This window comes from Homo sapiens, chromosome 11, assembly GCF_000001405.40.
Source record: "Homo sapiens chromosome 11, GRCh38.p14 Primary Assembly".
Lineage (NCBI taxonomy): Eukaryota > Metazoa > Chordata > Mammalia > Primates > Hominidae > Homo > Homo sapiens.
Window position 1 is genome coordinate 34,566,214 of NC_000011.10, and position 13,578 is coordinate 34,579,791.

A 13,578-nucleotide genomic window follows, 5' to 3' on the forward strand; every position below is an offset into this window, starting at 1 on the left:
CTATGTTTGGGGGCAGAGAAGTGGGTCCAGAGACCTAGAGGTTTGCAAGGGTAGCTTCTAAACTCCTTTGGTTCAGAACAGAATAGAAAGTGTCCTCGGGTGACCTTGGGTCTGCTTCCCAAGCAAATTGAGCATACGCAGCCAGAACAAAGACTGCACTCTACTCTAGTGAGCTCAGCCTGCTAGGCTTGGATCTAGATTTTATAGCAATAAGCTTGGAGTCTCACCTTTGGGTCAGACAGAGTACTACCCCAGACATGAGGTAGGGAGAGCCTAGTCTATATTCCTCTGCCTTTGTCCAAGCCTGCTTTGTCCTTCCTCTTGACGAGGAATAAAGATGGCTTCTGGGTGTGCATCCCCTTCCTTCTTCCACCTGCAGATGTACCTGTTTGTGTGCAGTGGGCTTCTGAGTCCTGGGCAGGGATGCCAGAGACCGCAAGCCAGATGCTTGGGATGCCAATCCTTGGGACTTTGAGGAGAAAGAGAGGTTCTGAGGGGCATCTGTCTATGGCACAGAGTCAAATGGAACACATGGAAGTCCCTTAGAAGGCTGGTATCTAAGTGTTGGCCACACAATGTCCGTTCTTCCTCCATTATTTGAATTTCTCCTTCTCTATCCTTCTATCTTTCTTGGCACCTTGAGCCAGGTCTGGGGTGAGAGAAGGGATGGTGTAGGTGAATTAGTGGTAGTTATTGGAGGAAGGCAATAAACCCAGAAAAAGTGTCACGTGACTTCTTTCTTGGGCCCAGTGTGACGCTTCTAGTTAGGCTAACGTGGGTCTTGGGACTGTTCCTGAGATTTTGTGGAAAACTCTTTGTATTTGTGCTGGTAACAGAAGGAAACCAGAGTTAGGGCTGGTGGGATGAAGCAGTGGGAACACTGATTTCTCCTTTTTTTCAGATTCAGGGATTTCTGTCAGAGACATCCGTGGGGGAGGGATGGGATTGGGAGTGAGGAGAATCCCTTTCCTCTCCTCTCACCATCTGGTGGTCCCCGTGCCCACGCACCAGCTCGTTGGATGGACATTTTGATTCCCTTAAGATGTACATTCTTCAAATCATTGTTTGTCATTAGCTCCCTGGAGAAAATGGAGGGGCTGAGATATTAGTGAGAAAACATAAAGTTAATTGGGTGATGGAGACTGGGAGAAGGGGAATGTTAGAAGAAAGTGAGCGAGGTCTGCTAAAAGTGAACTTTATCTTCTTCTCAATTTTGCCTAAGACTCGTGTTGCCTGGGCAGTCTCTTTTTGGAAGAGAAATTTTCATGACAGTTTGGGCCAGAGATGGCAAATAAATGCCTGACATGGTTGCTGCCAGCCCCTGTCTCCCGACACGTTCACAAGGGTGCACACCACTTCTCCTCTCTGTGACCATAGACTCAGACCCATTGCAATCCAGCATCCTGCATGGCCCCATTGGTCAGAGTTGACATTTGCAATGAAGCTGCTTCCCTATGCCTGGTTAGGCCTTTTGCTATGAATTCTCTGGAGTTAACTATTTCCAAGGGGCTCCATCTTATTCTTGTGATTTCCACGGGATTTGGAGCCCCAGAAGACAATCCCATGTGGATTCACAAAATGCCCTCTAAATTTGATGGCTGTCAGTGCATACTAAGTATGACTGACTCACTGGTATCTGTTTCCTCCGCTGACACAGCTGGTTCTTAGGCTCGGCAGGAGTTTGGGCTGAGACCTCTCATTGCTCTATATTCCCTCTGTTACTAATGAGGCGTTGTTCCTTAATTACTAGGTGCTGGATACTAGAATTGCTTTTCTTTGTTTCAGGGGATTTAGCAAAGGGCTTATAAATATTTCTTGTGTCTGGCATGAACTACCTGATTTTTTTATTCTTCAGGTCACTGAGCTGGCAATAAAGGCAACTCAAAGTTAGCTGGGAATCAGAATGAAGGGGGACTAGGAAAAGTGATGCCTAGAACACCAACAGGTGTGGGATCATCTTCATTGTACCTTTCAGAGCCTAAGATATAAGTCCTCTGGATACTCTCTGCTTGTTTATTTAAAGGAAAAAATAATCAGAATGTGGGAGAAATGGGTGCTTTGGGTAATTTCATATTCTAATTGATGAACGTGTATGAAATTATAATATTAAACCACTACTAGCCCTTGCCGTAAAAAAACTATTCCAAAATAGCTGAGTCTAAGTTTCCTGCCTCAGTGTGTCCCACCTCTTGCGCTTGAGTCCTTAATGATCCAGAGTTTCAAGTCCCCAGTGCCCTAATCTTGAAAAGCAGAAACTTTAGAAGTTTGCTGAAGTTTATTAGTTGGCTATACGATCCATCAAGAAATTGACTTTTTTGGATTAAATTCAAGATAGTTTTTAAAAAATCAGAAGTTTCTTTATCATGAAAGCTAAAAAAATAATTGAAGGTAGAGGCTAGTTGGAATCCCAGTTAATAGATGGATTTCTTCCTTCTTGAAGAAACTTGTGTCCAAGGGCAAACTGAATCCTGGTGGTCTATGCTGGCCACATTCAGCAAAAAATGGCCTGAGGTTTTGATGGTTATCATTCTCAAAACTGTTCCTGCCAACACACTCTGATCCCAGGAGGTTACCTGACCTTTATAAGGCTCAGTTTCCTCCCCTGTAAAATGGGCAGGGTAATCAAGCTAGGCAAAATATTTAACCTAAGTGAGGAAATTGTGCTATTAGTGCCCTGAAAAACATGTAGAAAGACATTAGACATTATTTTATTTAATATCATGTTGAACTTAGTTTTTAAAAAGAAGACCTATTGGATTTTCCAAGAACAACTAAACTGATTCCTTGTAGACAGTTTAGAGAATACAGAAAATTAGAAATAGGAAAAAAGCAAAACAAAGCAAAAACCATCAAACAAAGTCTACGCAAATACAGTTTCTCTTAACTTTTGGTTTATTTCCTTCTAGTCATTTTTTAGGTGCATTTTTAAATTGTGGTAAAATATATGTAACGTAGAATTTACCATTGTAGCCATTTTTAAGTGTAGAGTTCAGTGGCATTAAGTACATTTATATTGCCGTGCAACCATCACCACCATCTATCTCCAGATTTTATAACCCCAGACTGAAACTCCATATCCATTAAATGATAACTCCCCATTCCCCTCCCCCTACCCTGGTGACCACCATTTTACTTTCTGTTTTTATGAATTTGACATTCTTGGCGCCTCTTATAAGTGGGATCATTTTTAGTCGTTTTTATAATCGGTTTCCTTCCTTTAAAAATATGAATGGAGCCTAATGAATATTGAATTTAGTGTACTGGTTTCTTTGAACATTTCAGCATCATAAACATGTTTTTGTATTCTACATTCTTCTTGTATTGCTATATTCTCTATAGGAATTTTTTTTTTTTTTTTGACAGAGTCTCACTCTGTTGCCCAGGCTGGAGTGCAGTGGCACAATTTCAGCTCACTGCAACCTCCGCCTACTGGGTTCAAATGATTCTCCTGCCTCAGCCTCCCAAGTAGCTGGGACCAGAGGTGCATGCCACCATGCCTGGCTAATTTTTGCATTTTTAGTAGAGATGGGGTTTCATCATGTTGGCCAGGCTGGTCTTGAACTCCTGACCTCAGGTGATCCGCCCACCTTGGCCTCCCAAAGTGCTGGAATTACAGGTGTGAGCCATTGGCCCCAGCCTTGAACATCATTTTTAATGGCTGAAGATTATAGAATCCAGTGGGTGTGCCATCCATTATTAGTATTCTGTTGTTTCCAAATATTTGCTGTTTTAAACAGTGTTGTGAAAACATATTTTTGTGTTGAACTTTTATCATATTGAGAGGCACTTCCTCTGTGCAGAATCAAGAAATTAATTACCGGTTTATAAGGAATGTGAACCTTTCAGGCTCATAATCTGTATTACCAAATGGTTAGGAAAAAAATGTTCAGAAGGTGCCATTCACAGATGGAGTGGGCTTCCACCAGGGGCTGTGAAGCTCTAATCTCAAAGGATGTTGACTACTGGTAGGGCTGATTCAAGTATTAGATATCTAGGAAGGGTGGGAAGGGCAGAGAAGCTTCCAAAATTCCTATGTAGGAGAGGCATAGGGGTGCTGATCTCTTCATAAGGGGTGACGGGAATTTTCCTTGAAACAGCATGTGCAGATCAAGCACTGTTCTTTCCTTTAGAGTGTGTGTTTATTTGGGGCGACTTGGAGGGTTGCTAATTGAGATTATGGGGAATCTAAAGCCACACCCCAAACCGCCCCTTGGTTCCCCTACCTGGGGGAGAGTTGACACTAGTCAAACCTCTCCCATCTCTGAGATTTTGTGAATCTAGGACTCTTGCCACTGCACAGACTCCAGCTGGACCCAGGGACTCCAGCTTCTCACATCACCCTGGCTCATCCATAACTCTCTTTTGTTTCATCTCAAACATCACTGAGAGATGGCTGCCTCTTCTCCCTTCCTAGGAAAGCCCATGTCACAATAAGCGCGCCTGTGCTTCTCATCAGTGCTTTCCTGGTAGCACCACCTGACAAACACTGCTCGCGGCTGCCTTCAGCTGCTCTCCAAGAAGACGTCATAACCACAAGAGATCTGAATCAGCCCATTTTTTCCCCTGTGGCACTGTGTGCTTTGGCTGCCTGGCCAGAAAGCTGGGACTGTATTTACCTATCATTTTGATACTATCTTGGGGTGTAATTGGAATTGAGCTCTTAGTGTGGAAATTCTTACTCAGAACACAAAGGATTGAAGAGTGCTTGGAGGCTGAACTCTGGAAGGACTCTTCCCTGAGGCCTCTTGGCATCTGGCTCTTGTTTCTTGGAGCGGTGGTATGGCCCACAGGTGGGTGTTTCCTTTGGGAGCAATTTCTTGCTTTTTCAGTAGCTCTGGGCTGTCATCGAGCCCACTGTTCCTTGTCTTCTCTGCACTGTTTAGTGATGATGTAGGTGAATTGCTCCACAGTTTAATTCCAGTGGTAGAGCAGTCACCATTTGTTGGTTTCTTTTTCTTATGGGAACTCTGGTCTGCATCTCACTGTGTTTCCCTTGAACGTGTCTGGGGTCCTCCAAACAGCTTCTTGTCCCTCTGAGTGCGGACACTCAGATTCTAACTCAGATTCTAAGTCAATGGTCTCAGCCTTTAGAACCGCAGGAGGCCAGGCGCGGTGACTCACGCCTGTAATCCCAGGACTTTGGGAGGCCTACGCGGGTGGATCACCTAAGGTCAGGAGTTCGAGACCAGCCTGGCCAACACAGTGAAACCCCATCTCTACTAAAAATACAAAAATTAGCCAGATGTGGTGGCATGTGCCTGTAATCCCGGCTACTCAGGAGGCTGAGGCAGAGGCAGGAGAATCGCTTGAACACGGGAGGTGGAGGTTGCAGTGAGCCGAGATTGTGAGATTGTGCCATTGCACTCTAGCCTGGGCAACAGAGTGAGACTCCATTTCAAAAAAAAAAAAAAAAAAAAAAAAAAGAACCACAGGAGGGAGAGATCATATATGACCCCGTATGTGTGAAAAGTCCTATCATTGCTACCCACACCAACAATATTAGTGGAAAAATGTCTTCAAAGGACATTCGATTCAATGATACATGAGATTTGCTTCCTTCCTTAATTTTTCCCTGTACAGCTATATAATGATTTTTTCAATCAGATCCTCTTTTCCCCCTATTAATTGTATTTATAGGATGAGATTGATTCTAACACAATAGCAAATGATGTATGCACATTTAACACATTTCGTGAAGGCAGGAAAGGGCACACTATAAATTCTGTGAAATCCACATTAGATCATGCCTCTCCTTTCTCAGTTGGGAGGTGGGCTCTGACAGTGCTCAAGAGAAAAAAAAATCAAGTTGTGACAGTTTAAAAAATATTTTAAATATTAAACTATTTATTATGGAACTTAAAACATACACAGAAGTTGGCAGAATAACATCATGTACCCTAAATATCTATCTCCAAACCTCAACAGTGATCAACCTGTGGTCAGTTCTGCCTCTTCTGGTTCCCATCTGCTCTCTGACTTCAGTTTATTTTGAAGCATGTCTCAGACATCTTGTGACTTCAGTATTGCACGATGTATGTCCTAAACGTAAGCATTCCCTTTAAAACATGTATCTACTTTTTAAATGAAGAACAATTAGGTGCATTTTCATAAGGGTTTTAGAAAGGGAAGAAACTGTATTTCTTTAATTTAAAAATGTATCAGACAACTAATCCATGTTTACTGTTTCTAACACGGATACCATAATAATAGGATCATTCTATTATACATAGACTAGTGAGATCAATTTGTCAGATAAACTTAGAAGGGCCATTAAGAAAGTTATGTCATAATTTTTGTCACTTGCTGAAACCAAGACTTTAATTCTGCAGAACATCATACCAGGATTCACAATTGTATACACTGATTGTGTTTGTCCAGAGGTAATCTCAGATCCACTGTATATAATTTTCCATTTGCCTAGCTATGGGGTTGGACACGTCAGTTTTTTCCAGACCAAGGGTCTCCTAGCTTTTTTTTTATTTTTATTTTTATTTTTTGAGACAGAGTCTCTGTTGCCTGTGCTGGAGTACACTGGTGCGATCTCGGCTCACTGCACCCTCCACCTCTCAGATTCAAGTGATTCTTGTGTCTCAGCCTCCTGAGTTGTAGGTGGGACTACAGGCACCTGCCACCATGCCTGGATTTTTTTTTTGTTTTTTTGTATCTTTAGTAGAGATGGAGTTTTGCCATGTTGGCCAGGCTGGTCTTGACCTCTTGATCTTAGAAGATCTGCCCACCTTGGCCTCCCAAAGCTGGGATTAGAGGCATGAGCCACTGTGCCCAGCCTCCTAGCTGTTTTGGCTGCACACTTCTATCCGTAGATAATTAAGCATGTACCCTTACTATTTTCTGCAATATAAATTATTTACTTATAAATTACATTATGTACTCTATCACACTGGTAAATTAAGTATATTATAAAACAGAAACTAAAAGTATGAAGTGAGAATTAAAAATGAATAGCAATTCTAATATCTTCATCTTCCCCTCAGTGGATCCTCCTGTACATACTCCAATTTGCAGACCACTGGAGGAGGCTGTAGGAGGCAATATTATATCCCAGTGAGGTGTGTGGGTTGTAAAGCCGAACAGCCTGAGTCCACATCCCAGCTCCACCACTCCTTAGTTCTGTGATCTTGGAAACATCACTTAACCTCTCTGAATCTATCTTCTCACCTGTAATATGAGGGCATTAACCCCTTACAGGTTATTGTAAGGTTTCTTACACTGTGCCTGTGGTAAGCATCAATACATTTTAGCCAATAATAACAGTAATGATAATAACACATTCCTAGAGGGCTGGGATGGATCTAGATTTTTCTTCCCCTTTTAGTGGAAGACCACAGCATGATGCATGAATTTACATTTCCTCAGACATTCTGGTGCTGATGAAGGTAAAGATGGTGAGGCTGCGATGATGGTTTCAGGGATGGGTGTGTTGGGCGTGATGAATAGCATGATGCATATTGTCACTCATTTAGTTTATCTGCACTGATGATGATGCTGATTATATGATGACTGTTACAGGGATGGTCACATTGTGGGTGATGAATATGACCAGAAAGGGAAGACTTTCACAGTTCCTACCCGAACTACAACATCGATATTTTCATTTGTCTTTCCTAGGAACTCTTACCTTAATCACCTGACCAATATGCTGACGACTAACATGTTGCGCCCTGCCTTTCTTCCGGGCCTCTCTGCCTTGCTGATCTGTTTTGCTGGTGTGCCCTCCACTGTGCTCTTGGGTCTTTGTCTCTCGGTAAAGCCTAGTACTGTGGTTGCTGTACACAAAACCTGTAGATGATTAAGATCTCTGTTCACTGCAGGGCCATTCATCTCCCAGCGACTATTTTATCCTTAAGTCAAGAGACTTGCCTCTCAGCCCCTGGGGACCATGGAAAGAGTGCTAGAAACCTACAGAGTATGACCCTTTGTAGCCTTATGCAAGAAGTGACCTGTGTCTTTCCTGTCATGAGAGAGGACAGACATTGCAGGAATCAAACGCATAACACTAGTGCAAAACTGGGGATAATGCCCAAACCTGGTTAGGCAGGGGCGCCTGGAACATGCTTGTCCAGGAAATCTTCCACTCAGTTCTGCTGCCTCCATGTCCCAGATGATCACAGAAGCCTCCTGAGAAGGGTTGAATCCCCCGTCGCCTGGGGATCCCAAGAAAGCTGCAGAGGAAAGACTTTCTCTTCCAAGATCAGAACAAAGGACGGTTAGCATTGTGCCCAGTAGTGCCAAAAGGTAAGGTTGGGTTAAAATAAGAATTTGCCTTAAGCTCTTTTCCCGGGGGCTTGTTTTTTTCATTAACCTTGTTGGCTGGACTTTAGGGAAGTATGCACCATCTTCTCCAGAAGTGCTTCAGATTTTATATTTTTAAGAAATTCAAGAGTCTGAGTTAGGCACTTTAATGTAACCTCCCCAAAGCTTTTGTTCCAGGAATTGACTTGGGGATTAATCTGTTTAGCAAATTCTGACACAGAGGCATCTCATAACCTTTTATTTTTTCTACAGACCACATTGTATCTACCTGGGATGTTTTGAAAATGAACAGTGACACCTAAGAATGTATACTTATCTCTTCATGCCAATTCTCCAAACTGGATGTTGCCCATGTCTCAAAATTACTTGCCTCCAATTTTAGGGCATAAAGTGTGAGATTCTGTAGCATGAGATCATATGCTCTTAAAATACTAAGTATATATAAATTATCCCTTAGCATCTTTAACATGCATTTTTTTTTTGTAGAGACAGTATCTCTACAAAAAAATCTCTCTGTATTGCTCAGGCTGGTCTTGAAATCCTGGGCTCAAGAGATCTTCCCATCTCGGCTTCCCAAAATGCTAGAATTACAGGCATGAGTCTCCACACCTGGCCTAACATGAAATATTCTTTAACAGTATTCTTTAGGATAATATATTATTCTATAGATTTGAAATAATTTATCAGTTCTATACTTAATTATAAATACTCTTGGGAATAAAACATACTTATCTAATAAGCAAACAGTCGTGCTATTCCAAACAATTTGGGATTGCCTTTCCAAGCATTTTTTGGGGGTTTCTTCAACTGATTGAGAGACCCCCGGCCGGGGAAGAGAAAGAGAATTTGATTTGTGACACTGATGGAATGGACTACAACCTTTTGGTGGTGACTCTACTGGGGACTTGTCACAGAGCTTATTTTCTAAACAGATGTGAAAAATGAAAGTCAGGCTGCTGTCTGGTTGGTAAGATAAAGCTTTCATTAATACTTGGCAGCATTATTTTAGCTAAAGTGTCAGATCAAACGCCCACATTATCACCTCCCCTTCCTGATTCCAACCGCCCATGATAGAAAAGAAATAAAAGACTAGGAATAGGTCCATCAACTGGTGAATGGCTAAACAAAATGAGGTATATACATACAATAGATGGTTATTGAATCACAGTAGGGAATGAAGTACTGATACATGCTACAATATAGATGATCGTCATAAACATCATGCTACGTGAAAGAGGCCAGATGCAAAAATGTCACATATTATATGATTCTACTTATTTGAAAAACTCAAAGTAGGCAAATCCATAGAGACAGAAAGCAGACTGGTAGTTTCCCAGTGCTGGGGAGAAGGCAGACAGGGAAGTGACTGCTTAATGAGTATGAAGTTTCCTTTTGGGATGATGAAAATGTCTTGGGACTTAGATAGAAGTGATGGTTGCACAACACTGTGAATGTAGTAATTGCCATGGAGATGTACACCTCAAAATGGCTAAAATGAATTCTATGTTATGTGAATTTTACCTGAATTTAAAGAAGAGTAGAAACAAACACCAAGGAAAAGGGAGGAAAGGAGACATTATTGAACAAGACATTTCAACAAGTTTTGGAATATGGAAAATATACGGAGAAGTGGCAACTGACTTACCAGAGTGGCAGAAGAAATAGTCTATGTGAGTGTGGGGAATGGGGTGGATGTGGAACCAGTGAGAAATAAGCCGCTTTACTGGGAAGAACTACAGAAAGACTGAGGCTTGGACGCAGCTTGTGCTACTACAGGTAGCAGTAAACAGGGGGATTTGTTGAACTTCAGAATATAGAGAATTTTGATGTAAGAGGTTTTTTTTTTCTCGTCTCAAACCAGGAGACTTTTTTTGTTCTCTAGGTGAGGGAGATCTAGAGACAGCCAAGTACAGGGTGCAGTATCATCTAGAAAATAAAGAAGAGGTTTGAGTCTGCAGGTGAGACTCCTGCTCTCTTCCTGGAATGCTGGCAGCCAGGCTTAGATCAGCCTCTCTGCCCTGCTCCAGGCAGAAGATGGAAAGATCCCTTTCTGGAGAAACTGACTCATCCAAGAGATAACAGCTCAGATTCTTACTTTTTAGAGCTCTCCAGTAAAATGCAGCTCAACACTTGATCAGTTTCCAGAGATGACCCCTGATCAGGCCCTCACTACGAACCTCTGGGTTTTAATTGGTTATTTAGTATCTCAATTTTAAAGATCAAAGACAGGATCGCTTTTGAGGAAACTTCCAACTTTAATGAAAGAATTTAAAAAAAAAAAGGAAAAAAAACCTGATAGTGTAAAGAGCAGAGAAATGGCAGGGAAATGAAAATTAAGTTAAAAAACAGAAACTTTTATATAATTCTAATCCTTTGCAGAGATAAAAAAATACATTGCATACCTAAAACAAGTACAAGTTGCCATGGAAACAGATTCATTAGTGAAGAGGAAAGAGATCTTGGAAATTAAAGACATAAAAGACAAAATAAAAATTAAAAAAATTAAACAGAATTTAGAACATAATGTTGAAATGAGAGAACTTTAGATCTCAAAAACAACAGAGAATCAACCCAGGAGATTGTGTGTGACTAAAGAAGTCTCAGAAAGAGAATAGAGGAAAGGAAGGAATATTATAAGAAAAGTTTCAAGAATAAAAGGTCATGGGCCTCCAGACTGATAAAAATCCATCTTGTACCCAGAAAAAATTGACTTTTCAAGAACTGAATCAGAACCTATCCTGTGAAATGTTAGGACAAGTAGATCCTAAAATCTTCCAGAGGGAATCCATTCAAAGGCCTTGAATGGCATTAGACTTCTCCATATCAATACTGGATGGTGAAAGAAAAAGAGCAATACCTTAAACTTGCTAAAAGAAAATGATTTTTAACTAGAATTCAATTTCCATCTCAATTAAAAAACCCACTGTAAAGAAAAAATTCAAATCTTCTCAGGCATATAATAACTCTAAAATTCTACCTCCTGTGCACCTAATTTTGGCAAGTATCTCAGGAAGATACACTTTGCTAGAACAAGGACATAGTTTAAGAAAGTGGAAGAAATCAGATCTGGGAATCAGGGGATCACATGATACAGAGGCACAGCCAGAGGGATCCCAGGGAGAGCATGTCCAGTGTGACAAGGAGTGGACAGCTTCAGAAGGGACAGCACCAGGGGAAAAAACAAAATGAATATCTGATTGGCATAAACATTTGGAAAGTAGTATTAAAAATGTGTGTAACAGGTGTGTTGTTACATTTGCCAAAAAAGAGCAAAAGGGAAAAAAAACCCCAAGCAGATGAAAAGTAAAGAAGGCAATGGTTAACTACTGGAAAAACAAAAAACAATATTCAAGAAAGGAAACGAAATCATGGTATACTTCTTGACTAATGGGTGAAAAATGAAGATGTACATAGTTATTAAAATGCAAACATTGATTATTGAGTTAACCCAAAGTTGTGACATTTGGAAGCACGGGTAGGCACAGTGGGGTGTAAGAGACCTAAATCCTCACTTACCGTAATGTTTAAAAAATTGCCATGTCAAAGAATAGCAGCATATCATATTATTTAGAAATATGGATGCAAATGCCAGAAGAAAAATTAAAGGAAGTGAAAAATGTTTTCCTCTAGGAATAGGACAGGGGACGTAATAGGGAACAGATATTCTGCATTATCTCAATTAATTCTCACAACTGTGACTGAAGCTCTTTTGCTCTCCTTGTTTTACAGATGAGCAAACTCACAGAGGGATGCAACTTGCCTAGGATCGTATAGCCAGCAGCTCATGAGTGTGGAATGGGGATTCAAATAAGGTCTAGGAGACTCCAAAATCCATGTGCTTAACCATGAAGTTTTACTACCCCTTCTCTGCTTCTTCATTAAGTATTTTTAGTGCCTAATTGCCCATGCTCTCTGCCAGGTGCAGTAAAGGAGGATTACACAGGTGCAATATGAGCCATGATTCTTGTTGAAATCAGCACGTCAAAAATAAGGCTAATGAGCACGTGAAAAGATGCTCAACATCACTAATCATTAGGGAAATGCAAAACTGCATTAAAATATCACCTCATATACATTAGGATGGCTACTATGAAAAAAACCAGAAAATAACAAATATTGGCAAGGATGTGGAATAACTGGAACACTCATGCACTGTTGGTGGGAATGTAAAATGGTGCAGCTGCTGTGGAAAACAGTATGATGGCTCTTTAAAAAATTTTAAAAAAATAGATTTCTCATATAATTCTGCAATTCCATTCCTGGATATATACCCCAAAGAATGGAGAAAACAGGATCCTGGAGAGATGTTTGTATACCCATGTTCATAGCAGCATTATTCACAATAGCTAACATCTGGCAGAACCCAATGAATGAATGGATGAACAAAATGTAGTATATACACACAATGGGATATTAGTCTTAAAAAGGAAGGAAATTCTGACACATGCCACAACATGGAGGTGCCTTGAGGACATTATGCTAAGTGAAATAAAGCCAGTCACAAAAGGACAAATATTATATGATTCCATTTATATAAGCTACTTAGAGTGGTCAAATTCATAGAGACAGAAAGTAGAATGGTGGTTGCCGGGGATGTAAAGGTGGGCATTTCTCAAAAAACTGAGAAATACAGAAAAATAAAAATCACTCACTGTTTGCCACACTTCTACCCTGGTTCTTTTTAAATCTATTTTTCTTACTCAAAGAAATACATGTTTATAGTTTAAACATTCAAATAGTACTACAGGTTCGTAATAAACAAGAGCGGTCCAACTCCCCTCCTCCTAGCCCTGTGCTCCAGTCCTTTCAGATGTTGTTTCTGGTCTTTGTATTTCTCAATAACATGCCTAAATGTATTTTCTGGCTCCTTGTATTATTTATTTATTATTTGTTGAGTTTATTGCTATGAAAAATAGAGATTAGATCACTTACAGGGTCTTCCTGACACCGTGCTCACCTTCCCCACCTATATGTACAATTCACCTTCCCTGTCCTCATGGAAATAATATTACTCTTTTAGTTAAGTCACAGGTCAGTATTTATGTTATGATTATGTAAATATTGTTTATGTAATGTGCTAGGGCTACTTTTTTTTTCTTTAATTCCTTATCCTCCTTCACCCTCACCACCCAACCCCAATCTCATCCTGGAGTTCACAGTTATCTCATTTTTCCTTTGCTTGGTTTTCTAAAATCTATCTCCTGGCTCTTTCTCCAACTCTTCTCTCAGTAAGATAGTTTCTCAGCTCTACCTTTTCCCCTTGTTGACATTGCTCCAGAGCCCTTCAACCTGCTCAGGTGGCTATTC

General features: G+C 40.7%; 1 long non-coding RNA gene across 1 annotated transcript, besides 1 other annotated feature; it reads left to right on the forward strand.

Moving 5' to 3' along the window:
• Window positions 1–4,681: 4,681 nt before the first annotated feature.
• LINC02707 (long intergenic non-protein coding RNA 2707) lies at window positions 4,682–12,395 on the forward strand. The gene is made up of 3 exons (XR_931181.3): window positions 4,682–4,790; window positions 8,120–8,253; window positions 12,001–12,395. It is a non-coding gene; the product is annotated as a long intergenic non-protein coding RNA 2707 (long non-coding RNA).
• Window positions 10,209–10,503: a silencer, noted in NCBI's record as "tiled region #13672; HepG2 Repressive non-DNase unmatched - State 22:ReprW". NCBI's record gives its function as "represses a minimal TATA promoter and a strong SV40 promoter by Sharpr-MPRA in HepG2 cells {active_cell/tissue: HepG2}" and the evidence as "EXISTENCE:reporter gene assay evidence [ECO:0000049][PMID:27701403]".
• Window positions 12,396–13,578: the final 1,183 nt, after the last annotated feature.